Source organism: Homo sapiens, chromosome 6 (genome assembly GCF_000001405.40).
Source record: "Homo sapiens chromosome 6, GRCh38.p14 Primary Assembly".
Taxonomy (NCBI): Eukaryota; Metazoa; Chordata; class Mammalia; order Primates; family Hominidae; genus Homo; species Homo sapiens.
The window spans coordinates 148,986,229-149,014,201 of NC_000006.12; the positions used below are offsets into that span (position 1 = coordinate 148,986,229).

At 40.7% G+C, this 27,973-nt stretch overlaps 1 protein-coding gene across 6 annotated transcripts in view; it reads left to right on the forward strand.

Moving 5' to 3' along the window:
* Window positions 1-27,973, forward strand: part of UST (uronyl 2-sulfotransferase) — a 329,961-nt gene that overhangs the window by 239,199 nt on the left and 62,789 nt on the right. Inside the window, exons 6-8 of one of the 6 annotated variants that reach the window (XR_001743088.3) lie at window positions 4,147-4,201; window positions 6,756-6,838; window positions 25,729-26,599. The exons of 1 other annotated variant lie outside the window; for it this stretch is intronic. Coding sequence is in view for 3 of the 5 variants with exons in the window: in XM_047418048.1 (XP_047274004.1) it covers window positions 4,147-4,197 (51 nt within the window). In the remaining 2 variants the exon portion in view is untranslated. Of the gene's footprint in view, window positions 1-4,146; window positions 4,202-6,755; window positions 6,839-19,074; window positions 19,362-25,728; window positions 26,600-27,973 lie in introns of those variants that run through there. 4 more of the 6 variants (XR_007059195.1, XM_047418048.1, XM_047418047.1 and 1 more) reach the window with 4 other exon arrangements.

A 27,973-nucleotide genomic window follows, 5' to 3' on the forward strand; every position in this document is an offset into this window, starting at 1 on the left:
ACTCTTCCAGCAATGGGAGAGATTCATGGCTGCCACATATGTAATATCTCATTTAATTCTTACAGCATCCCCCTAAGATTGGTATTATTATACCTGTTTTGCAGATGAGATGCCAAGGATTACAGAGGTTAAGTAACTTGCCTCAGTTCATACCACTAGTAAGTAATAGAGCCTGGATTTCAGCTAGTGGTATGTTAGAGCTGGCTCAGACTAATCGAGTCAATTTTTTATTTTTAGGAATTGCGCTAGTCAGTTGACACAAAGACAGTAGCTTGAAAATTTGGCCATATAGGAGTATTTACAGCATGGAAATCTGCATATGCTACACATCAGTCCTTTGTTTGTTTGCTTGTTTCTGAAAAGATGGTTGTTAGGCATTTGCCGGTACACCACTGATTTGAAGCCAGGTCATCTGATGCTACAGCTGACTCTCCAACCTCTATGCTACAGACAATTGGCTTCATGATTCCCTGACACATTTCTGATGCAAAAAATTCCTGAAACCACCCTCCTCCTCGGAATCCCTGTGGAGAGCTTGCCATGCCCTGTATTTTGCTTTTCCCTGAATTGCCGTCATCATCATTTTTATGTCTCCCTACCTGGATAGAAAGTTCCTCAAGGACAGAGAGTGCAATCACTTTATGCTCCCTGTCTTTGCAGTGTCCTGCACACCACACTGCTCAGTAACTATTCACTGTTGAAGGTGATGCTGATTGATATACATCATCACCCTACTGGTGATTAAGGATTGGTAACATCTACAAAATAATACAAAAGATTGTGCTTCATACAGATGTATCTTTCTGAATCTTACATTTTATAATGGCAGACACTATTGGAAAAATGTGTTTTAACCTCAAGATGACCATTTAAGAGAACTGTGACATCCATTACAGCCCAGGGATCTGGTTGATGTGCTTCCTGCCCACTCCCACCCACAAACCAGGAGATACATTAATTACTTGCCTCCCTGGCCACTCTCAGTTTATTGGGAAATTGTTTATCCTCCCAGCTTGTCTAGAAAATAAAATATGCATGCTGCTTGGAAGCAGGGAGGTATGCAGAAGCTTCCAGATCTCCAGACTCTTCTCTCACTGCGTCTTGGGGCCTGAGAGCTTAGCTCTGCAAAGAACAACCCAGGAAGGGTCAGGATGGACAGGGCACTGCAGTCTCTGCACCAAGTGGTGTGCCCTACATGGCCCTGAGACTTCAGAAGACTCGGGTCTTAGGCTCACTGCAGACTGTGTAACGTGAATAACAAAAAAAAAATTTCTACTGCACATGAGTAAGCTGCAGAAGACTTTGTGCCTTGAAGCTTCCTTCCAGATGAAAAAGCGGGTCTCTCATGAAAAGAACGCTTGCCTTCAAGAAAAGCTCTTTAAAATCTTTTGACATGGCAAAAGAATCTGTAACTTGCCACTTGTACATCACTTCCAAAAATGTTTCTTCCTTCTTAATTTATTTTAAAAATTTTGTTTCAGGACCCACCGTGTGACAGGCACATTTTCCACCATTTGGGAAACATCATTGAATAGAATGAGAATTCCTACTGCCATGACACTAACACTGCAGTGACATCCGTAGCGCCAAAACTCTTGATCTTCTTCATCATGTGCTTTCATTCATCAGACGTGTATTCGTTCAGCCAAACAGACATGAGCATCTACTTTATGCCAAGCTCAGTGGTGAGGGCTACAGCTTCAAAAACAGAATATGGACTATGCTCTCGAGGAATTGTCTAAGGAGAGAGGCACACACAGCTAGGGTTCTAACATCAGAGCTTTATCTAGGAGCACCACCAGAGGTGTGGGGAGCTCGTGTCTGTGAGGCTTCCTGGAGGAGGTGTTACCTCAGTTGAGTCTTGCAGGATGAGTACAAGGTCCAAGCAGAGAGGGTGTAATTTGAAATAGCTTGATACAGAGGAGGAACTAAAGGCAGTGAAGGGTGCTGGGGTATAAAGTTTGAGGCAGGAGGTAGCAAGAACTGAAACTTGACATTGAACAGTTAGGCAGAGCCTGCATCATGCATCAATTACCTGGTTTACTCCCTTTATTCAAAAAACAGGCTGGGTGCGGTGGCTCATGCCTGTAAGTCCAGCACTTTGGGAGGTCAAAGCGGGTGAATCACTTGAGGCCAGGAGTTTGAGACCAGCCTGGCTAACATGACGAAACCCTGACTCTACTAAAAATACAAAAGGTAGCCCAGCATGGTGGCGTGTGCCTGTAGTCCCAGCTACTCAGGAGGCTGAGGCACAAGAATTGCTTGAACTTGGGAGGTGGAGGTTGCAGTTAGCCAAGATCACATTACTGGACTCCAGCCTGGGTGACAGAGAAAGACCCTGTCTCAAAAAAAAAAAAAAAAAAAAGCAAAAAACAACAATAGCAACACCTATAACCACAATTAACTTTCTTTCTTGTGTTCTCCGAAAGATTGGCAGGAAGGCAGATGAGGATGTTTCCCTGGTCTCTAATCTGAAGCTGTAGATTCCTACAACATGTAATACTGTCCCACCCTCCCCACCTCTTCCCAACCAAATGCCAATCCACTCCGCTTCATCATTTCCAAGTCCACCCTTCAAAGTAGACTTCGCCTATTCCCAAGGATGCAGTTCCATCTCTCCTTCTCCTCCTTGTCCTCTGCTCCTGTTAATTCACTGATCCACTGGGCAGAAACTCCAAGTCTGTCACTCTCTCCCACCCTTATTCCAATGCTCCTGTGCCAACAAGGAGTGACCCAAGCAGTGAGCTTTACAGCCAGCACCTGCTCCTTCTGGAATGGCCCTTCTCAGAAATGCAGGAACCTCAGCAGTCCTTCCTCAGCCAATAAGAATGAGATAATAGAGGTTCAAAGGCTTTGAAAACACAAGAGGCACATAATTCAGTGTTTTTGTTATTATCATTTGAGGCCTCTAGACTTCTGAAGAAGCTACTTCTGGTCTGTGAGAACTTCATGAAGGTGGAATTACTTGACTTCAGTAAAGGCCCCCCCCCACCCCCCGCAAATGAAAACCTTGATTAAAAAGTTTAAAAATTCAAAAGGAATGGTGAAGATAGGGAAGGACTGAGAATGAATTATTAAGAGGTTGGAAATTTCAGAGCCTTCCTTTTTGAAGAAGCTGGCTGAGTTCCAAAAGAAATCCAAGTCCTGAATTTCTATTACTTCTAACAAACTGCATTAGCATGTTACCAACACTTATAAACTGACTTAAAAGAAGACTAGGGCATTAAATTAAAAAGTAAGCCATGAGACTATTACCAAAATAAAAGGAAAGCAAGAGGGATTTGCCTTTGTCCTTGTTCAGAGAAACTGAAAACAAACTTGGATTGCATTAACAGAAGTATCTGTTCTACCAACTGCAAAAGTGCCAAAGGAGATCATATAGGTCCCCAACTCTGTCATGAGTCCTTCCAGGTGAACAGAGACCTTGTTAAATTAAGGCAATCACATTCAGCCTCCCAAGAAGGGAGCCTATAAAACTGAGAAGCCAAAGCTAATCCAGTCCTTTCCCATTCTAATTAAAGAGGCTGAAGGGCTTGTCTCACCTAACACTGTCTCATCTTCATGCCACTTCCTCAAATAAAGGAGTCAGTGAGAAGTTACCAATTCACATGGTAAATAACAAACTCTCCTGAGTTTTTTGGATAATCAAATGAGTTTTCCTTTGTTCATTCCATCCCTCCCCATTTGGAATTTAGATGGAAGAATGTCTAAGTCGATGAAAATCCAACTAAAGAAACATTGGCCTCTTTGTGGAGGAATCTCACATTTAAGTACAAAAAAAATTAAGCGTTTAGGGGAAGAAAGTTCAAAGACTTTTGCTTCCTTTGTTCTTTTAAATATTTTATTTGGAGTTCGGCATTACAGTCAGGACAACCTACAGTAAGAAAACCAGGCTTTCGTATAAAAGTTACTGAAAGGTGCTATACACCAACATACTTTTATATCTACCATATTTTTATATTCTTTATATCTTTCATTTTAAAATATTTATTTGGTGTGGCAGGTTTATGGTAGCTTTTTATCGTCCTCTTTTTGCTTGGCCATATTTTATATAATAAACAGGAACTGGTTTTATAATAGAAGTATTTGAAGACAAAGAATAAGATTTGATGCCATGAGATCTTTCTTTCTTTTAAATCCAAATAGTTAAGCAGATCAACCTATGAAGAGCGAGAAGCCAAAGGAGATGTTTCATGATAAGGTAACTAGATGGTATTTTTCCATTAGCTGCTTGACCTCTTTAACGTGACACCAGTGTGTTTTCCTGGATAAAATTACAATCCCAGATATTCAGACGTTCAGATTCATATTTTCCATCTTAGCCCACGAAAGCTTTACTTTGGGGATTTTGCAGAAAATTCTGGCTTGTGTTTCAGTCATTTGCCTTTTCTCTGTGGAAGCCAGCAGGAAACAGTAGCAGATCCTGACAATCCCCAGACGTCCCAGGGAAAGTGCAAAGAGGCTCGGCATTAATTGATTAAGAGGTTCTTTCAAAGCGCAACTTCTCTCTAAAACTACTCACTTTAAATCATGAGACTAGCTGCAAACTGCAATATTTATAAGAGACATAAATATTGAAGAACACAGTGACACTCTCCTAGGAGCAGGAACTAGAAGTGGAAAGAGCAGTGTTCCACGTAGACTCAGTAAGACTTGGAAGCTGATCGTATCTATTCATTCACTCAAGAAAATATTGGCTAAGCGTCTCCTGTGGGCTGGCACTCTCCTAAGCCCTGGAACAGGAGTGAACAAGGGAGACAAAGCCCCACCTGTCATGGAGCTGACATCCTAGTGAGGTGAGGCAGGTAGTAAACAGACAGATAATTAATATATATCAGGTGGTGACCGAAAGCTAAGAAAAATAAGAGGACAATGAGTAACTGCGGATGCTATTTATGTCAAGAATCAAAAGTTTGTTCTGAGGCAGGTGTTCTCTATATGGGGTCCACAGATCCCCACAAAAAGTTCATGGGTAAATTACAGAGGATCTCTGAATGATAGTGGCAAAAAATACATCATAGTTTTACCAACTTAAAGTTTGCAAATGTTCGTTTTTGAATGTAGGCAACAAACAGTGGCAATATTAACAGTACCTGTCATGCCACCAATAGAACTCATAAATTTTTTTTAATTTTTATTTTTATTATTATACTTTAAGTTCTAGGGTACATGTGCACAATGTGCAGGTTTGTTACATATGTATACATGTGCCATGTTGGTGTGCTGCACCCGTTAACTCATCATTTACATTAGGTATATCTCCTAATGCTATCCCTCCCCCCTCCCCCCACCCCACGACAGGCCCCGGTGTGTGATGTTCCCCACCCTGTGTCCAAGTGTTCTCATTGTTCAATTCCCACCTATAGAATTCATAGATATTTTATATCAACTGTTACTGGAGATGTCTCAATCATTCATACTAACATAATTCTTGGATCAATGTCATGGTAGATATTAGACCCATTGAGAAATCTTGTCATTCAATACATTGAACAAGCATATATGTTACTTATCACAACTTTGTAGTATTTTGATAAATAATTCAATGGATTAGGTCTCCTTTATAATCCTGTTTATTATATACATTTAAGCATATTGCCCTGAAAAGTGAATCCTTAGACTACATCAAACTGCTAGGAGGTCAGTAGCAGAAGTGCTTTATGCAAACTTCCCATACTTCTTCACACAATATTAAAAATATGAGTACTCAGGGGTTGACGTTTAGAACAATAAATAATTTTTACTGCTCCATCAAGAACATCCTTAAGATAAACTGGTGTTTTTATTGTCGTAAGTATGGTGGTGAAGAATACCATGACCTGTGGAACAGTTTGGTCCACCGTCTGCATTCTTGTGAATGAGCCACCTGTTTATGATCATAGCCTTGCTCCATCCACACAAATGTCAACACCATCAACAGGCAAAGAACACCTTAGGATTCTTATGAAAACCAGTTGGTTCTTGTGGACCCCTTAAAGAGTTTTAGAGTCCCGAGGCCGATCGCGGTGGCTCACGCCTGTAATCCCAGCACTTTGAGAGGCCGAGGCGGGCAGATCACGAGGTCAGGAGATCGAGACCATCCTGGCCAACACGGTGAAACCCCGTCTCTACTAAAAATACAAAAAAAATTAGCCGGGCGTTGAGGCAGGAGAATGGGGTGAACCCGAGGGGCGGAGCTTGCAGTGAGCCGAGATCGCGCCACTGCACTCCAGCCTGGGCGAGAGAGTGAGATTACGTCTCAAAACAAAAAACAAAAAACAAAAACAGTTTTAGAGTCCTGCCGGGGGTCTGTGGACCTCACTTTGAGAACCACTGTGCTAGATTAAATGGCAAATACAGATTCCTTTAAGCATTTGGACCACCCAGAGGACTCTATTTGCATGAAAACTTGGTTGTGGTTGTAGTTTTGCTGTCCAACTCTCTGAAATTGAAGTTTTAACCAAGCGTTTAAGGTAGAATTTTAAAAATCTCAGTAGAAAATAATCTTCTGTTGACTTTTCTTCATGGCCCCAGAGACCTAGCATGAGAATACAGGTCAGGAAATACATTTTACAGCAGGAGCATATGGATGGCCCCTGCTCAAGGAAAGAAATAACCAATACTTGAGGGAATCTTAACCTCTTTTGTGTCATGAACCTCTTTAGCAGTCTAGTGAAGTCTACAGACCTCTTCTCAGAATGTTTTTAAATGCATATCATAAAATACTTAGGATTACAAAGAAAACAAATTATACTGAAATACATTTCTATCCACAGACCCCTTTGGGCGGCTCAGCATTCAAGGCTAATAACCACTTGCTTCCTTCAATCCCAACTGGCAAGGAGGAGCACCAAAGGAGGTGACATTTGTTTCTTAGTGCATTTGTTTCTAGGTCAGTTAACATCTTAAATGCCCAAATTCTGAATGTCAGTAAGTTCGATTTCTACATCTAAACAAGGCCAGGGCAAGAAAGTGGAATAAGAAGAATGAGTTTCTCCTGAGCCTTCCATCAGACCTAGTGGCACAGGTCATCAGCTAAATACACAATCTTCCTAAAGGAGGGTGACCCTGGGCTGGGGGCCAGGAAGATCTTGGGCACCATCTGCATAATAGTCTAGTACCGTTGAGAATTCTCCAGTGGGAGTTTCCAAAAGTTTGGTTACTCTTTTTGAAAAAAAAAAATTGTTTTATATTGAAACTTTATTTTTCTCTGTTTTTTAAACCAAACTAGCATCCTTAGACTTATTATACTTGGAGAAACTGTCTAGAACTTAGTGCTAAAAGTTAAGGATAAAAGAATTTAGAGACTTGTGTGACTTACTAAAGGATAAAACCAATAACAAGCTGATACTGTTTGTATATTTGTCCCCACCCAAATCTCATTTTGAATTGTAATCCCCAGTATTGGAGGTGGGGCCTGGTGGGAAGTGATCAGATCATTGACGCAAATTTTTCATGAATGGTTTAGCAGCGACTCCTTGGTGCTGACCTCATGATAGTGAGTGAGTTCTCAGGAGATCTGGCCATTTAAAAGTGTGTGGCCCCTCCTCCCCTGAGCCTCACTTGCTCCTGCTTTTGCCATGTGATGTGGCTGCTCCCACTTCACCTTCTGCCATGATTGGAAGCTTGCTGAGGCCTCCCTAGAAGCTGAGCAGATGCCAGCACCATGCTTCCTGCACAGCCTGCAGATCACTGGGTCAGTTAAACCTCTTTTCCTTATAAATTACCCAGTCTTGAATATTTCTTTCCTTTTTTTTTTTTTTTTTTTTTTTTTTTTGTTGAGACAGAATCTCACTCTGTCACCCAGGCTGGAATGCAGTGGCATGATCTTGGCTCACTGCAACCTCTGCCTCCCAAGTTCAAGCGATTCTTGTGCCTCAGCCTCCCAACAACCTGGGACTACAGGCATGCACCAGCACGCTGGCTAATTTTTTTTGTATTTTTGGTAGAGACAAGGTTTTGCCATGTTGGCCAAGCTGATCTCGAACTTCTGGCCTCAAGTGATCCACTTGCCTCAGCCTCCCAAAATGCTGGGATTACAGGTGTGAGCCACTGTGCCTGGCCTCAGATATTTATAGCAATGCAAGAGTGGGCTAGTAAACAACCCCATAGTAAAAGTTTCTACATTCTTGGTGGAATGGTTATAAATTAATGAAAAACAATTTATTCACTTTAATAGGAGAAAATGTTGGTTCTGATAGTGGAAAACTGCTGATAATCCAAAGAGCCTCTCTGTTTAATCTTAGAATTAATGAAAGTATTCTAGCATCATGGTCTCCTCTGATTGTGTTTTTTGGGGGACTAATATTGAAGTGAGTTCTTATTCTCTGATTCAAGGGTAAGGAGGTCAGTTGGTCACTTGAAACTATTCCAAGACTGGGAAGACAACCTGTGATTTTAAATTTGCCACAAATAATCCACCAGGCGGATATTCACCTCTTCGCTAGTCAAGAGTTTCACTGTGGTCTTTACAGTCCTACTTTGTTTCCTCATAAAGGAAAGCACACTCTCTAAGACCCCACAGCTTTTCTTTCTGTCCCCCCCACCAGGCTCTTTTCCTTTTTCCCGTTTTCCTTGCCCTGCTCACTGCAGTTTCTCTTTCAGGGCCAAGATGAATCCTCAAGTCCTTGCATTTCCAGGACCACTTCATCCAATGTTGCTGAACCCTTCATAGCCCTTAATCTATAGATTCAAAACTCAAAGTGCCTGTTCACCCCTTACCTCTGCAGAATGCTATCTTGTAGTCTGTAAAGCATTTTCACATATTTTTTCTTTAATCCCCATAGCCATCCTGTAAAAGAATTTGTCCTATCCTTATCTTGTGTGTGTGTGTGTGAGACAGAGTCTCACTCTGTCGCACAAGCTGGAGTGCAGTGGGGCGATCTCGGCTCACTGCAACCTCCGCCTCCCGGGTTCAAGCTATTCTCGTACCTCAGCTTCCCAAGTAGCTGGAATTATAGGCACGCACCACCACACTTGGCTAATTTTTGTATTTTTAGCAGAGTTGGGGTTTTGCCATTGGCCAGGCTGGTCTCGAACTCCTGGCCTCAAGTGATCCGCCCGCCTCGGCCTCCCAAAGTGCTGGGATTCCAGGCATGAGCCGCTGCGCCCAGCCTCGGTCCTGTTCTTATTTTAGAGGTAAGAAACCTGATGCTCAAAAAGATGGAGTGCTTCACCCATTGTGACTCAGCAGCTAGCACAGAAGCAAGACCCAAACCCAGATCATCTGATGGCTAAGCCAGGGTTTTCTTCTCTATTTCACAGATATCTTCTGTGTTCTAGTCGCATTACAAACTCTACTTGTTCCTTATCTACTAGCATTATTCTTGCCAGAAACATAGTACAGCAGGTTATAAAATCTTATTTTGAAGTGGCTATGACTAAAGACAGTGGGGCATAAACCAGTTACCTGTGGGTCACATGTGACTTGCCGACGTGTTTTGTTTCATATATGGGTTTTGTTGTTGTTTGTAGTACCAACATTTAAGAATTGAGAGATCTCACACAAAGATCCAAATTCAAATTTCTAGCTTCTCTTGACAGGTGAGAATATTGGGCAACCCTGGGACAAATTTTGTGTGGCAGAGACTGGCTGGAGCTGAACAGCATCTGCCCCCTGGAGACAGGGCGTGTGCATTCCTAGTTTGCCCTGCGTTTCTCCACCCCTCAGTATCTGCAGGCACAGGGCCCTATTCATGCATTCACATGACCTGGCAGGCACCTGTGGGCATTGGTAATTGCTGTCCCAGCTCTGGAGCCTGTATTCAGCAGGGGGTGGGGGCAGAGTGGGGACAGACTGCACACAACACGGTGCCCAGCAGATGTTGGGAACCCAGTAAGAGCAGCGTTGAAGGATGCTACATTCACTGAGTGTTATACCTTGAGTGTTGAAAGTGCTGAGATCGCCATAGAGAATTGATTCTTCCACTCTCTGGCTTTGAAAACTGTTCATGATAAGAAAGAGGAAGAGAAAGAGCCCCTCCTAAATATTATATGTTTAATCAGGTTTGTTATGGTTATCGTTGTTTCTGAGACAGGATCTCACTCTGTCACCAGGCTGGAGTGCAGTGGCATGATCTTGGCTCACTGCAGCCTCTGCCTCCCAGGTTCAAGTGATTCTCCTCCCTCAGCCTCCCAAGTAGCTGGGACTACAGGCACTTGCCACCATGCCCAGCTAATTTTTGTATTTTTAGTAAAGATGGGGTTTTGCCATGTTGGCCAAGCTGGTCTTGAACTCCTGACCTCAGGTGATCTGCCTGCCCCGGCTTCCCAAAGTGCTGGGATTACAGGCACAAGCCACCACACCTGCCCTGTTTAATCAGTTTTTCACCAGGAAGACTGCTTTTCCTCCTACAGACTCTTTCTCTTGTGTGTCTAAATGATAAATATAGTTCTACATTTACCCTGTGGAATTGATCTCTTCATCATCAGAGTAATTAACATATTTTAACTTGAGTGTATATTTGCTTTTCTTTGGCTTTGGTTCTCAACTTGAGGAAAGATAGATCTGGGAAATTCTGTTTTAGTAGTTCTTCATTTCAGTACTTATGTGTGTAGAAGTTATTCTAGTGACTTGAATTTTTTGTGTGTTTATACAGCCTTGGTCTGATTCATGGGTAGTTAACCTAAAAAGGGGAGGGAATATCAATAAGAGAAAGGAAAGAGTAATAAGAGAAAAAAATGCTATTATAACACAGCCTTTATTTTTTATGTTTTTAATTAGAATTTTTATTTTAGATTCAGGTTGTATATGTGGAGGTTTGTTGCAAGGGTGTATTGCATGTGTTTGAGCTTCTGTTGATCTTGGCACCAGATAATGAACATAGTACCCAGTAGGAAGGCTTGCAGCCTTTGCTGTCTCCCTCCCTGCTTTTGGAGTCCCCGTGTCTGTTCTCATCTTCAGAGGATATGAACTGGGGTTTATGTTGGTTCACTAAATGTATATATCCTAAGATGTACCTGCATATAATAAAAATAGGGAACATTCTATAAGAAAGCTGTGAGAGAAATCTCAAATACCAGCATAATAAAGGGGCTTGATTTCGTAGCTTTTTTTCTTGGATTCCATGTAGTCATGTTTTATTTTAGAAGAGAAAGAATCCAGGAAGCAGGACCAATGAAAGGGTCAGAAATGAGATCTCTAAGCAAACTTAGGATGGAAAATTATAAAGGTCTGAGGATTCATAAAGAACCTGACCCACTGAAAACACAGTCCAAGAAGCTTTAGAGTGAGACAGATGGAAAATGAATGAGTGAATGAATGGATGAATGAAAAAATGAATTAGAAAAAGGGAAAATGAAGGCAGGAAAAAATTGAGCTTCCTTACAGAATGTTCTCTAATATTTTTATTATATGCAGGTACATCTTAGGATATATACATTTAGTGAACCAACATAAACCCCAGTTCATATCCTCTGAAGATGAGAACAGACACTGGGGAACACACTATACTAATAGTCATTTATTTTTTCTGGGATTTTTTTGTTTGCTTTTTATAACATTATGGAAAATTTTAAATACTCACAAAAGAGAATAGTCCAGTGAAGCTCCATTTCACAGACAATTCTTAGTCACTCATGATACTAGGATCTTGAGAAACCGAAGTTCCCTGTTAATTTAAAATAATTATTTTATTTAGGTTCAGCATCTCTTTATTGAACTTATTACGAGTCCTTAATGACCTTCTAAGTCAGGATCATGGAGCACAGAAAGGAGAAGCTGTGGGCTGGCCTAAAAAATAATCCACAAACATGCTGTTTATACCCTGGATAACCAGAGGTTGAAAGTGTGACTTTTGTGGTTTGTTTTGCGTTCTTAAGCCAAAACTATTAGACTATTGCATGTGAAAGAAAACGAAATTCTGAACCTCTTCAGCTAAGAAGGCAAAATCATCAAAATTCTGAGGCTAAGACAGTTTCTGTGGCTTTTCAAAACTTGTGTGGCCCAAAGGGGCCATAAATAACTTTTATGGTATAAATCCCTTAAAGAACATTCTTGGTTTCTCAGGAATTCCTGCCATTCTTACAGTCACAAAGCTTCATTTTGGCTGGGAAGATGTTTGAGCTTGAGTTTTCTGTTCAGTACTGCCTCCAGGAAGTACTAAACTGTGGAGACGTGGACTATGCTGTGGGCTTCTTATAACAGGTGAAATGAACAGATTTGAGGTGAATGATTCTTTTGTCTCCACCTCATAATTCAACTTTTCACCAAAATCTGCCGTATTCCTTCTGATCTCTGGCCTACGTTTTATAAACACCTTTTCCTTCTGGTATTACATGCAGAGCACAAAAAAGTTAAAATATATTTCCATGATTATTTTAAGCTTGAGAATAGCAAAATTGTAGCCCCCATAGGATGCACTGGCAGTGCATTCATATAATATCACACTGCCCCTCCTAGAGAAAACTCACAATGGTGATCTCTCCATTTTCTGTGTGGCTAAGTAGCGGGTAGGGATGCGGGCCCATCCATAAACCCGACCTCCTGCTTATTTTAAGAGTTTCATCAGCATCTCAAGATGAGTCAATATTAGAAGGATAGATAGTCCCATTGACTGTATGCTTCAGAATATAATCAGCGCAGCCCCTTATAGGCCGAGGCTGCTGCCATGTATGTGCTGGTCTGAATGCAGCAAGCAGCATAGCACTGCAGCCCAGGTGGCTGGTGCATGCCTGGTTAACCAAGGCAGCACTTGCAGCACTCACAGCAGTCAGCCAGTGGCAGAGATCCAGCCATGTGGCTCCTTCTGGGCTGTAGAGATGAGAATCACAGACAACCAAGATGCAAAATCCCGAAGTCATTATTCCTCTGAGTGGAGCCCGCATCTGGAATGCACCTTTTCCAGCAGGGAGTAGTTTATAGGTCATATAATGTCATTTCAGTCATGCAGATATCTAGCAAGAAAAAGTATCAACAATGATATATCTTTATCTATATGAACACTTAAGTACTTTTTGTTCAAAATTTAATGGTACTTGTATTCTGGACTTTACTGGTGAAATTTTTATGATGTTGTTTATTGAAAAACAGTAGTATCATCTGAAATCTTTCATTAGACACCCAGACTTCCATGGTGATTTGCTAGGCATAGCATAATTCAAATAAAAATTTCATTATCTTCAAAGACCACTTTTAGAAACTATAATAGAACACCTATCTGGCACTGGGTGGATACCGTAATACAGAGAAGCAAATCTTCTAGGTTAGAATATAATTCTGATACAGAATATGTAGAACAAAGATTATAACTTTTTATATTCATGGCATACTTCAAATATTGGAACTTTTGGCAACATGCAACACTAATAATAGACTCAAAGCAACACCATTAAGACAAACTCACTGCTATGATGTAACAGTGTCTCACAGGGTCTGTAAGAAGAACCCTCAGGAATAATGCTGTTTGATGTCTGACTTAAACTGTGCATTGTCCTTTACCCTCTGACATATAGAGCAAAAATGATTACGTTTCTCTAAACATGTGACCTTGCTTTGGCACAGACTTGACATCTTACTCAACTTCTTTCCTCTAACTTTGCAAGTTTCACTCCTTACATCCCAGGTTATCCATGCCTCTACACTCAGCATTTCCTCTGATAGACCTTCCTGTAGCAAAGAAGCATGAATAGCCCATACAGGGCTCCCAATCAAGATGGTATACTGAGTTCACACTCTCTTGACCCCAAATATATTGTAATGATTGATAGAATATAAAAAGAGGAAATCCAAAGGATTTACCAGCTTTATTATAAAATAAGAACATCCTCATGCATGGAGGAATTCCTGAGTGGTGAGCAATGATGAATCCACAGGCCAGCTGGGCTCTGGTCCAGAATCCAGTAGTGGCAGCCAGAAATAGGACAAGGTCAAGGAGACTAGAAGTGTCCTGGCCAACAAGAGGGCCAGACCAGGCTCAGTGCTTTAAACCAAGGCATGGGGTGAGAAGCCACACTTCCCCTCACTTTCCAAGTAAAGGAAGTTAAACGTAGCAACTGCTCATCTTCTGCCTGGAACTATGCCCTTATAAGAGGCTAGAGATATACAGAGGTGGAAAAACAAAACCACAAACTCACAAGTAAGAAGTGAACCAAACTATTTGCTCCTTTGTAAGCAAATGTGTAATATTCTCATTGCTCTCATAAGATGGGAAGTAAAACTAAGACCTGATTCTGGACTCAGGACCCGGGAGTCCGGATGGTAGAAGCCACAAAACCACTAGAATAAGACAGAGGGTGAGAAGGAGGAAGAAAGAGAGACAGGGAGAGGAGAGAGGCAGCAGAGAGAGGAAGAAGACGGAGACAGATTATGAATCTCCTACCCAAAATGAGCCTACAGACCATACATTCTAAGGAACATGGAAAAAAAATCCAATACCAAGAAAGGCAGGCAGCAAAATCTAGTACTGGAATATGAATACACTCCAGATGGCTTTAAGGAACAACCTGACAAAGTCTTTAAAATAAGTGTGCCTAGGATGTTTGAAAAGACAAAAGAATGAATAGCTTCCATTTAAAAAGAGCAGAAAATTGTAAGAGAGACATGAAACAAGGACATGAGGATATCTTTAAAATAATTAAGTAAAATGAAAAATATGGTTATTGAAGTAAAAATTTAATAGATAAGTTCTAAGCTAAATAAAGTTAAAGAGAATATTAATTGATTTAGAAAATAGTCAAGAGGAATTCACCAAGAATGGAATTCAGAAACAGATAGACAGATAGAGCAGTTAAGAGACATGGAAAAAATATTGTAAAGTTTCAACAGGCATCTGATAGGAGATCCAGAAAAAAGAGAATAGAAAAATGTTAGGGAAGAAATATTTGAAGCAATTAAAGGACAAAATATTCCAAAATTGGAGATGATTCTTTTTTTTTTTTTTTTTGAGACAGAGTCTTGCTCTGTCACCCAGGCTGGGGTGCAGTGGCATGATCTCGACTCACTGCAAGCTCTACCTCCCAGGTTCATGCCATTCTCCTGCGTCAGCCTCCTGAGTAGCTGGGACTGCAGGCACCTACCACCACGCCTGGCTAATTTTTTTGTATTTTTAGTAGAGTCAGGGTTTTACCATGTTAGCCAGGATGGTCCTGATCTCCTGACCTCGGATCTGCCCACCTTGGCCTCCCAAAGTGCTGGGATTATAGGCATAAGCCACCGCGCCTGGCCTGGAGATGTGATCCTTCATACTAAAAGTACACTGGGAGTACTGAACAGATTAAACAAATTTAAATATTCACACAAGTATTTTAGAGTGAAACTGAAGATATCAAGGAAAAGGAAGCAAAGCAGATGACCAATGAAGGAATCATAGTTAGGCTCATAGCAGACTTCTTGTCAGCAACAATAGATATCAGATGACAGTACAGTAATATCTTCAAAGTGTTGAGATAAAAAAATTGTGAACCTGGAATTTTATACCCAGCTAAACAATCATTCCACTGGCCTTTTTCAGACACAGAGAGTTTCCTACTTACTGAGTTCATTAAAAGCATTATTAAAAGATGAATTATGGGGGAAATTAAGGTACAAGGGCATAAAAAGCAACAGTGAACAGAGCTGTTGAGTAAAACAATGTTAGTAAAATGAGTTGAATATTAAGTGTTAAAAGTTGTTTGTATGTTAAAAAAAGATTACAATTAGGCAACTTTAAAAAGGTGAGTGGTGTTTAATGGATAAAGTTGCTAAAATTCATCTCCGATTTGGAGGAATATAAGAAAACCAAATTACTTCATGCTTTATTAGAAAAAATTTAATCAAGTTTGAATGTTAAAAAAAATTTAATGACTTTTCCATTTACTTATCTTTCTCATCATCTATTTACAAATGAATTTTTAAAATTCTTTGCCCTTCCTCAGACTCTCTCAGTAATGAAAGTATCTTAAGCTCCTTTGTTATTTTTATTTTCTTAAATTGTAAGAGTCATCCATGTGTTTGAAAAAAAATCTTACAATGTTAAAAAAAAAATGTAAGGGTAAAATGTAATCCTTAGATTCTAAAGCAGTAGAGGACAGGGAAGGGATATTATTAAAAACTCTATTAAACCAACAGAAGACATGAAAAGAAAAAAGATGCAGGAAAAAAAGAATAGCAAATTTTAAAAAACGCAATGTAAGGTGCAGAAATTAAGTATTTTAATCTCACTAAAAGTAAATGATTAAATTAATTTATTAAAAATAGAAAGGTTCATTTACTAAAAGTAGAGGCTGAAAATAATGAGACTGGAGAGAGTTACCAGTTAAAAACTAAATAAATTTAGTGTAGGAATAATAACATGATACATTTTTATTTTTACTTTTTATGTATTTATTTATTTATTTTTTGAGATGGTGTCTCACTCTGTCACCCAGGCTGGAGTGCAGTGGCGCAATCTCAGCTCACTGCAACCTCCGCCTCCCGGGTTCAAGCAATTCTCCTGTCTCAGCCTCTCGAGTAGCTGGGACTACAGGCACAGACCACCACGCCCAGCTAATTTTTGTATTTTTACTAGAGGTGGGGTTTCACCATATTAGTCAGGCTGGTCTCGAACTCCTGACCTCAGGTAATCCACCTGCCTCAGCATCCCAAAGTGCTGGGATTACAGGCGTGAGCCACTGCGCCTGGCCGTATGACACATTTTAATATAAGGCAAAGGCATTAATTTTAAAAAATCATAAAAATAATGAGAACTACCAAGAAGATATTCTATATAAGTATTAGCATAGTTACATATTATAAACTACAAATAAAGGAAAATCAATCCAGTTATTCATTGGTCGCTTAAAGCCAGAGTGCTTACTGTGATGCCTTATGTACAGTAGATGCCTTAATTCATAATGTAATTAAAGAATCTTGGCATTCATTGGTTGGAGATTCCAGTTTGAATTGTTGAAACACAATGAGTGAATCATTTTGAACTACCCTAAATTAAGAATCTCTGAAATAAAATTGCAGTAGACCATATCGTGGCATGATAGAACTATGGCCAATGGAACTATGCCTTTATACAAGGCCTTTAAACTGTATTAGAATAGTATGGTTGAAAACTTAAAGTTAGAATCCCAAATGAAGTTTACCTTGCATTTCATTTCTAATCAATGGCATTAAAGATAATAATAGCTCTCTCCCACCCCTTTTTCCTCAGTATTCAACTAACCACTGGATTCAGTCCTTATAATTTATGATTATGTAAAATTTATGCCCCAAAATTTTTGCCAAAATATTTTAACGTCATTTTGATGTCCAATTTGGTAAAAAACAAAACAAAAAAAAAAAACATTAAGGCACCTAGTAGTTTTATAAATAATTCCCAATGGGGCTAACCTCTGCTGAAAGACATTCTTTGTGCTAAGGTTTCTGACATCATAGACAGAAGGAAAATGATTGTTAGCCAAAAACACTATAATGGTGAGAATTAGTGACTGATAATGTATTCCACTTTTACCTTCGAAAATGTTTGTACAAAACTGGGTTGGGCCCAGTGGTTTTGCACTAAAATCTGTAGACTTTTATTCGCCTAATAAAATGACCACATAACCTGGCAAAATTCTGCGTATTTGGCAGCTCTTCCTGCCCCGGAGGCTGGAAGAGCATTGAATCTGCAGGTGTGGCTTTTAGAAGGTTCAGAGAGTGGAATTAGGGAAGCCAGCCCAGCACCCCACCTGTGTGCCTTCCTGAGGGCCAGGCTGGCGTCCCCAGCATTTAATAGACGTGCAGGGCCTCTATTCATTCCCAATAGATAATGACAACCAAAATAATCAAGGAATTGACACGCTTTGCTGGAAATGCCTGATAATGACATTATAGACCGAATTACAGCAACTTAAATTTCTTTCTAGCAAATGATGCCATGTTTTTTAAAAGATACTTTTGGCACTTAGAAAATAGATCATAGTATTTAATGCTATTGAATATAGTATTTAATGTATTTAATATAATATTGAATATAGTATTTAATAGAACATAGTATTTAATGCTATTGTACACACGAAAAACCTACTCTTCCCCTTGTTAACTTGGATGAGGTAGCTCCCTCTTTTCTTTGAAGGTAAAGTGGGCAGAGGAATAGAATTGTCAACAGCTGGACTGCAGAAGGGAGAGGAAGAAGAAAAAGGTTTTCTCACATTTTTGTTTTTTCCACAAGGTGCTCTTTAATCTTGGGAGCCAGCAGTCATGACCCAGTTATTGAGATCAGACTTCCTGGACCTGCTTATATAGAGAAGTGGGGAGCAGTGTAAGAGCCGGATGTCCACACTGAGGCAGACAGAACAGAGAGTGGTAGTGGGCAAGTTGAAGCAGCAATGACATGATGAAGGGCCCATGGTGCCCCAGGAAGGGGCCCCAAATCCAGGAGTAGGTAACATAAAAGTTCACGCTAATAACCGGACCTGGTGACTGGCTTGATATTCACAAGCAAGACTCTATTCCACTGGAGGTAGTACCTAGTGAAAGCAAATCAGACCACACTCTTATAGAATCTAGATGAACCAGGAGTACTGAGCAAGCTTGTAAGACAGAGGCTCAGATACAGGCAGCAAAACATGGCTTCAGTTAAGAAATGGAGAACCAGGTGGGCCCGAATCTCAGAAACAAGGAAGAAGTACAATGGGCAGAACTAGGGCACAGGAATAGGGTCATGCTAGCTGATCACGTGCCTTTTGTGTGTGTGAGAGAGACAGAGTGTCACTCTGTTGCCCAGGCCGGAATGCAGTGGTGCGATCACAGCTCACTGCAGCCTTGACCTCCAGGGTCAAGTGATCCTCCCATTTCAACCTCCTGAGTAGCTGGGACTACAGTAGGCATGAACCACTATACCTCCAGCTGATTTTTTTTTTTTAACTTTTTTGTAGAGACAACTTTTTGTTGCCCAGGCTGGTGATCAGATGTCTTGAGTCTCAGCATGCTGGCCTAGAGCAATGATTCTCAGATCTAGAACCTTTGTATCAAATGAAGCCTTACAGAGAACCCAATATGTAAACCCAGGCGAAGCAGAGCTCTTCTGGCTTGGGTAGGGCAGGAGGTCTTGGAGCCCTGCCCATCCAGCACCTCCCCAACAGACCCTCTGTGTATGTTGACGTTTCCTTTTACTGGGAACTCCTTACATCCCTCTCTTCTGGGTCCAGGATCAGCCATAGAATTGGAGAGGGTTGAGCGGCCCTGGCTGTAGAGGAAAGAAGACTCCAGAAGCTGGAGAAGAATTCGGGATCTGACAGGAAGTTCAAGGTGACCTCTGGGAGCCTTCTGAGAAGAAAAAGGGCATGCAACCTCAGCAGTGTCTCTCTGCCTCTCACCAAATTGACAGTGGGCCCGAACTTTGCTCATTTAATGAGATAGAATTAGTAAAGTCTCCAGTGTACTTTTCATTCCTTCCACAAGCTTTTACCGAATAAAATGATTGGTACTCAGTAAAGGTTAGTCCCTTCCTTCTTCTCTCCCTCCCTCTCTCCACCACCATTAGACCTCATTTCTTAAAGGACTGATTTCCACTAAAATGCAAGTATTTCTTGGAAGCACATTGAGCTTGATAACTTATTTATTTATTCTTCTGTGTGCATTAATTTATGAACTCATTTCCACCAGACACCTAGCTGAGAGCCATGTTTGATGGATGGGAATCAGAGAAGAAAGCCAGAGAGAGCCCCAGATGACTGAGGGATGAAAGGCCCTCAAGAGACTGGGGAAAGGCAGTAATGACAAGGTTCACACTAACACAATCACACCCAGGACAGCGGCAGATTTGAAGAGGGAGCAGTGCAGACCTGAGGGTGGCTGAAGAGGGTTGCCTCAAGGAGGGTCCCCACTGTGGCCAAAGAGGTCCTTGTAACTAACTGAAAACAATTGGACAGGACCACCACCTGCAGTCCACTCACAGTGGGCGTTTCTTGCACTCATCCTATACCATATTTTATGAATTTTATTTTAAGTTCCAGGATACCTGTGCAGGACATGCAGTTTTGTTACATAGGGAAACATGTGCCATGGTGGTTTGCTGCACCCATCAACCCATCACCTAGGTATTAAGCCCAACATGCATTAGCTATTTATCTTGATGCTCTCCCTCCCCCAACCCCACTGACACGCCCCAGTATGTGTTCCCCTCCCTATGTCCATGTGTTCTCATTGTTCAGCTCCCACTTATAAGTGAGAACATGTAGTGTTTGGTTTTCTGTTCCTGTGTTAATTTGTTAGTTTGCTGTTAGGATAGTGGCTTCCAGCTTTATCCATGTCCCTGCAAAGGACATGATCTTGTTCCTTTTTATGGCTGTATAGTATTCCATGGTATATATGTACCATATTTTCTTTATCCAGTCTATCACCAATGGGCATTTGGGCTGATTCTGTGTCCTTGCTATTATGAATAGTGCTGCAGTGAACATTTGCATGCATATATCTTTATAGTAAAATGATTTATCTTCCTTTGAGTATATACCCAGTAATGGGATTGCTGGGTCAAATGGTATTTCTGGTTGTAGATCTTTGAGGAATCACCACACTGTCTTCCACAATGGTTGAACTAATTTACATTCCCACCAACAGTGCAAAATGTTCCTATTTCTCCACAGCCTCGCCAGCAACTGTTGTTTCTTGACTTTTTAATAATCGCCATTCTGACTGGTGTGAGATGGTATATCATTGTGGTTTTTATTTCTATGCCATAAATATTGAACTGATCTTCCATTTTGCATTTTTCCCACTTTCCATAACCACAGAGTCAACATCGTCTCTGTCTTGGTATGTTATGCTCATTTATTATCTTCTGTCTGTAGTTGACAGGTTTTTCTGAATGATTTTAGGAACTTCAAGTTCCAGTAGAGAGAATGAATGAATGACTTCTCTTAACTGGACTTCTATCACAAAATCATGGCTAACTTCATGCATTCAACTACTGTTTTTTAAACATTCCAAAAAGTGATCAAGACGTCATTCCAGGCAAGCTTTTTTTTTTTTTTTTTTTTTTGAGATGGAGTCTCACTCTGTTGCCCAGGCTGGAGTGCAGTGGTGTGGTCTTGGCTCACTGTAACCTCCACCTCCCAGGTTCAAGCGATTCTCCTGCCTCAGCCTCCTGAGTAGCTGGGATTACAGGTGCACACCACCACACCCGACCAATTTTTTTTTTTTTTTTTTTGAGATGGAGTCTCATTCTTTTGCCCAGGCTGGAGTGCAGTGGTGCAATCTCGGCTCACTGCAAGCTCTGCCTTCTGGGTTCACACCATTCTCCTGCCTCAGCCTCCTGAGTAGCTGGGACTACAGGCGCCCGCTACCACACCCAGCTAATTTTTTGTATTTTTTTTTTTTTTTTTTAGTAGAGACGGGGTTTCACCATGGTCTCGATCTCCTGACCTCATGATCCGCCCGTCTCGGCCTCCCAAAGTGCTGGGATTACAGGCGTGAGCCACCGCGCCTGGCCTTTTTTTTGTATTTTTAGTAGAGACGGGGTTTCACCATGTTGGCCAGACTAGTCTTGAACTCCTGACCTCAGGTGATCCACCTGCCTCGGCCTCCCAAAATGCTGGGATTACAGGCGTGAGCCACCGCGCCCGACCTCCAGGCAAACATTTAAGACAGGGGGTTTTTTTTTGGCTGTAAGAAAGAGATGCCAATCTGTCCCTACTCCTAAGGAGCAAAGGAGCCTGAAAAACCAAGAGGCCAGTTGCTTCCTCTTGCTGTCTTACATTTTTGTATTTCATTTTTCTTTCTAAGGTGCAGTGAGAGCCCAGATCTATTTGTTTAGTCTGTTTCTTCCCATGTTGCTCATACTCACAAATTTCTATTTAAACTTGCCTCCTGGCTTCTTTAAGAGATAAACTGTTGCTGCAGTACGGTTAGGGTAAGGAAATTACCTTACTTAACAGCTGGTAAGTCACCAGCTGTTGCTGCTGGTTATGGTGCCTTGCTGTGCAGTCCGTGAGCTAACTTATTTAGTGAGAGATTTTCCTGCCAATTTGCTATAACCTTGAGGGAGAAAAACTGAAATCTCCCACAGAGGCAGGAATTTATTTTGCAAAAAATGAGGCATTTTTAATATTTGTAGACATTTTAACATGTGAAAATGTTGCATTAATGTTTGAGTCAAAAGATAAGATTCCATTTTGAAGTTACAGGGATTTGCAATCAGTATTTCTAAGGTCTTAGATGTTTGCCATTAAGTTTTCCTTTGCATTGATTTTATTTCCGTTTCTCCATCTGTACATGATTCATGGTGTATGTGCTTGAGGTGGGTGGAACTCGCCCTTGTTGGACAATTTTCAGCATAAGAAGGCAAGTGGGCAGCACTTAATTCTCTCCTAACCCTTAAGATGATAATAAGGACATGTTAAAGGGTGAGACACGCAACAGTGAGCAGAAAAACAAGGTTGAAACCCTTGTACCTGGGAGAAGGCATACAATGTTGGTAACTGATAAAGTTGGGCCAGGAAGCCACAGTCTAGAGTGCATTTGGAGGAGAAAATACAGCGGAATAAGACTCCAGGTTTATTTGGAAATGCCAGGGACGATGGATAAAGCAAGAGGCTGACAGCAGAAGGATGAACTGGAGATGTCTATATGGAAGAGAAGCCCTTTATTTCATCCCTACCTGGGAAAGCCCAGCACCCAGCAGCCGTCTATTGGGTGAAAAATTGATTCATTCCCAAAGTATTTGAATGTTTCCTGAGAAAAGACCTCCCAACCTGGCCATTAAATAATCACCAGCAGGATGGTGCAGCCCACTGGTTATAAACGCTACCAATGTCAGCACAGCTCTCCATCAGTTTTTCCTGACTCATCATTAAATATGAATGGACAAGAAAACATCCATAGCTATTTGAAGAAAGACTGCACCTTAAAAGACAGGGGCTAAAATAAGCAAATGGAAACAATAATCCTAAGGGAGACAAATTTCAGGAAAAAGAATAAAGCTTTAAGAGGGAGCTTTACTTAGTTTCCTCAGAGAGATTGGAGAAAATGTTGCATCCATACATAGAGCAGGATGCTGTAAGAAGAAAATCAGCATGCATCAAGAAAGAACGCTTAGACATTAAAATATGATTGTCATGATCAAAAATTCAGTGGAAGGACATGGAAGATCAAAAAATCTCTTAGAAGAGCAAAAAGACAGAGTAAGAAAAGATGAAAGAGTAACGATTATAAAAGATCATTCAAGTTTCAAAAGCCAATTGGAAAACTAGAATTAAAGAATGCAGAAAATGAAGGAGAGAAGATTATTTAAACACATACACACACACACAGAAACCAATATCTTAAGCCTGAAAGACATGAGTCCCCAGATTAAAAGGGCCTGCTAAGTGTTCAGCACAATGCTAGGTCTACCATGTGAGATTTCAGAAAATCAGGGTTAGAGAGAGAAATGTTAAAGAGCACACAATCTTCTCTGATGTTAAAACACACACACACACACACACACATAGACAGACACACATCACCTGCAAGTTATTGAGAACATTATTAGCAACAAATTCCTTGTAAGCTAGAAAACAGCAAAGCAAAAAGTTACTTGAGGAATTACTTCAGCAAAACGAGGGAGTAAAACAAGCAAGTCAGACATAGAATCCAGCTAAATGGGATTCTTAACCTCTGAGGGACACAACTGAGAGGCAGAGAGGCATAGAACAAGAGACAGTTGCTTTCATTATACCTTTTGTCTTTTTTTTTTTTGACATGTACATATTACTTTGACAAACATTTTTGAATTTTTTTCAATAGCACATATACATCAAATAAGATTTTAAGACCAAAATAGAAAAAGGGGAAAATCCTTTATTCTACCATCTTAGATCCAATCATTTAAATTTTTTTAAATTTATTTTCTTCCCATCTATCTTTAAAATATAAGTTTTTTTAAAAAAAAAACTAGGGTTGTAGTCATATTATATATATATAATTTTATCCCGACTTTCTCAGATAAGCATTTTTCCTATAGTTACATATTCTTTGTAAACATTTTAAATGACTGCAGTTATTTACAATGACATGTACTACAAGTTCCCTAATCTCTATAACTGAATTGGAATGTAACTATGATAAATATTTTGTTATAGAAATAGAAGCAACCAGTTTGTCTGTTAGCCAGTTTGACTCCATCAGGATGTGTTATTTTTATTTGGTTAGGCTCCACGTGTTTTCCAGACTCTCTGTGAGACCATTGTAGTTGTGGGCTCCACATCTCTGAAAAGCATCAAAACCCCTTGAACCTCAAAGACCGCGGTTCCTTGTTTGAGTGACACTGTGTTAACCAGAAGAAGTGCAGGGATATTTCTGGGGGAGAGGCACTACAGCTTCCACAGGGTCCTGCCCACAGGCATCTCAAATGCTTAGTAAACTTTGCTGTAGTTCATTGAAAAGAGCCTACCAAAAATCTAATGAAAACTGAGCTGGATACTAGATTGGTCTTCATCTTATAATGGAACATTTCAGCATAAAACTGTGACTATTTCGGCCGGGTCCAGTGGCTCATGCCTGTAGTCTCAGCACTTTGGGAGGCTGAGGCGGGCAGATCACGAGGTCAGGAGTTCAAGACCAGCCTGACCAACATGGTGAAAACCTATCTCTACTAAAAATACAAAAATTAGCCGGGTGTGGTGACACGTGCCTGTAATCCCAACTACTCAGGAGGCTGAGGCAGGAGAATCGCTTAATCTGGGAGGCAGAGGTTGCAGTGAGCCGAGATCGCGCCTCTGCACTGCAGCCTGGGAGACAGAGCAAGACTCCGTCTCAACCAAAAAAAAAAAAAAAAAAAAAAAACTGTGACTATTTATTTGTCTTTAGTTCAATGCAATAGAAACTGGAAACTCACACTCTTGGAATCCAAATGAATGACTTCAAAAAATGTTTGGTCTCTTGTGTCCGTAAGTGTTTCAGTTTCAGAATTTAAGAGCTCCACTGGACTAGCGCTCCCAATGAGTTAAGGATATTCGCTAAAATAAATGTAGATATGCCGCCATAAAAATGAATGAGATCCTGTCATTTGCAATGACGTGGAGGTCATGTTGAATGGAACTGGAGGTCATTATGTTAAATGAAATAAGTCAGGTACAGAAAGACAAATTTTGCAAGTTCTCATTTATTTGTGGGAGCTAAAAATTAAGATAATTGAACTCATGGAGATAGAGTAGAAGATTGGTTGCCAGAGACTGGAAAGGGTAATGGCAGTGGCGGGGAGAAGTGGGGAGGATTAAGGGGTACAAAAACATAGTTGGACAGAATTAATAAGACCTAGTATTTGCTAGCACAACAGTGTGACTCTGGTCAAAAATAATTTAATTGTCCATTTTAAAATAATTAAAAGTATATAATTGGATTGTTTGTAATACAAAGAATAAATGTTTGAGGTGATAGATAACCCCCAAAAAAGCATGTATGCTGACAATTCCAAAGACATTTCTATTTTTGGGGGAGGCCAAGGAGGGTGGATCCCCTGAGGTCAGGAGTTCGAGACCAGCCTGGCTAACATGGCAAAACGCTGTCTCTACTAAAAATACAAAAACTAGCCGGGTGTGGGTGGCATGTGCCTGTAGTTCCAGCTACTCAGGAGGCTGAGGCAGGAGAATTGCTTGAACCTGGGAGGCAGAGGTTACAGCGAGCCGAGATCGTGCCACTGCACTCCAGCCTGGGCGACAGAGCGAGACTTCATCTCAAAAAACAAACAAACAAAAAGGCATTTCCACTTTTATTTTCCCAATAATTTTAAAGCCAGTTTGTTTATTAAGGATTTACTTAACTCATATGAAAAAGAAACGAAATAATTAAAGTAAAGTTGGCATTATGTCTCACTTATCCAGAAATTCTTTATCTGCCATCCTGCCATCAGACACATAGCCATAAACTCAGAAGTAGTGTAAAGGACCAGAAAGCCACTACGGTAGATGCCACAGATATTAAATATCCAACATCGCAAGCTGTGCTTACAACAGGGAGAGCAACGTGCTTCTCTGCCTGATGCTGATGCTTCCTGGATGGCTGTATTGAGAATTCCGAAGGACACTTCCCATCTCAACTAGAGTGTGTCATCAGTGATTCATGCTAGACATGAGCATGGAATGGGAGAATGATGGTATCTGGCCATCTGCCACTTTCCAATCCATTAAGCCTCACTAAAAAGTCTTGTTTGACTCCTCTGGTTCTGGCTCAGATTTTTTTACAAGGTTGGAAAAAAGCCTTTTACAAGGAAGAGTGTATGAGGCAATAAAAGTTAACTTAGACCACATCCATTCCATTTAACCCATTAAACTTGTACTCTGATTACCGTGGTCCACTTATGGGTCAAGGATTTGGGTACTGCCTCAATGGTGAATGACAGTCATTTTTCTCTCTCCCACTTCTAACACAGCCAGCGTAAGAAACCGTCCTTTTCCATAATATCCATATTTTTAGCGTGTGAAGACTGGCTCCAAAAATCAATTTTAAGTCCACATTGAAAAAGAGCTTTTTATATCATCGTGTTACATTGCGTCATGTGCAGAGTAAGATGAGCTATAAGAAGTCCAAAGTTCCACAGTGGTATATTTTGCATAATACCGTTTGTGTTTCCATTAAATTGTATTGTTGTTTTGACTGACATAGCACATTACATGTTTCTGTATTTTTCTTCCTCTCTGTTTTCTCTGTGAGTTAGCCAGAGTCACTATTTAAAAAAAAAAAAAAAAAAACTATCAGAATCACCAGGAATGGTGTTTTTGAATATAAGATTAAGTAAAAAGGAATGAAATGCTGAAGGTATAATAAAGATGGCATAATCTTAACAGGTGAGTGGCAGGTAAAGTAACTGGTATAAATGATTTCTAATCTTAGCAAAGGGTCTATGAGGCAAGTATTATTGTCCTCATTTTACCAGATGAAGAAGTTGAGCTTTTGAGAAGTGAACATTTGCCAAAGACTCCACAACTCACAAGAGGTACAGCCAAGATTTGAACTGAGGTTTGTCTGATACCAACCTTGGTGGTTTTCTCTCTCTGCCGTTCATGAAAGGTGAAAAAGTTTAAATGATAAATGCAGAGTAAAAGCCTTGTATTAACTCGTAAGTTTTGGTATCTAAGAAATTACAGCCTTTTCTAGATCTTGAGATTATAAAACTATTCTTAAAAGTTGGTTATTGTCAGGCGCAGTGGCTCACGCCTGTAATCCCAGCACTTTGGGAGGTCAAGGAAGGTGGATCACCTGAGGTCAGGAGTTCGAGTTTGCCGCTACTAAAAATACAAAAAATTAGCCGGGCATGGTGGTGGCTGCCTGTAATCCCAACTACTCGGGAGGCTGAGGCAGAAAAATCATTTGAACCCAGGAGGCAGAGGCTGCAGTGAGCCAAAATTGCGTCATTGCACTCCAGCCTGGGCAACAAGAGCGAAACTCTGTCTCAAAAAAAAAAGAGAAAAAAAAAGTTGGTACCAGGTACGTCCATCTGCAGTTTCATCGACTGAGATTATGTAGCTGAGAGAAACTGAGGCTCAGAGATGGCACGATTTAGCTGAGGACACCCAGCTAATTAATCTTGGAGCTAATTAATCTTGGAGCTGAGACCAGCACCCAAATCTCCTTTTCCTCATTCAGGGAACTTTGCATATGGCCTCTTAAGGATTCTGCTATTGAAAGCAGCCAGAAATCCTGTCTTTGAAAGCCATGGGCCATATGGACAAAACTGATCCATGTTTCAAGCATGGAGCTGTGTAAAAACACCAATAAGTCTTTTTTCAGTTCAGTGGCTTTCAGACAAGGTGCTGTCTTATAAAAGGATAAGTAAAATATGAATCGTCTCTAAATTCACCTTTTGTGATAAAATTAACTCCACCTGGGAATTTCTTCCTTCCACCCTTTCTAAAATTAAAACTGAAATCCAAGAGAGGAAGCAGTTGTCTAGTTCTTGATGTACAGAGAAATAAAAGAGCAGTTTTATGTCTCAGGCAGAAGCAGACGAGAGGCCTGTGGGCCTGGCAGTGCAGAGTGAGGAGAAGGAGGCAGGGCTGTGAAAATTCGCTGACAGGGAGGGAGTAGGAGGTGTCCAGGCCTCCAGCGCAGTGTCTCATCTCTAGAGCA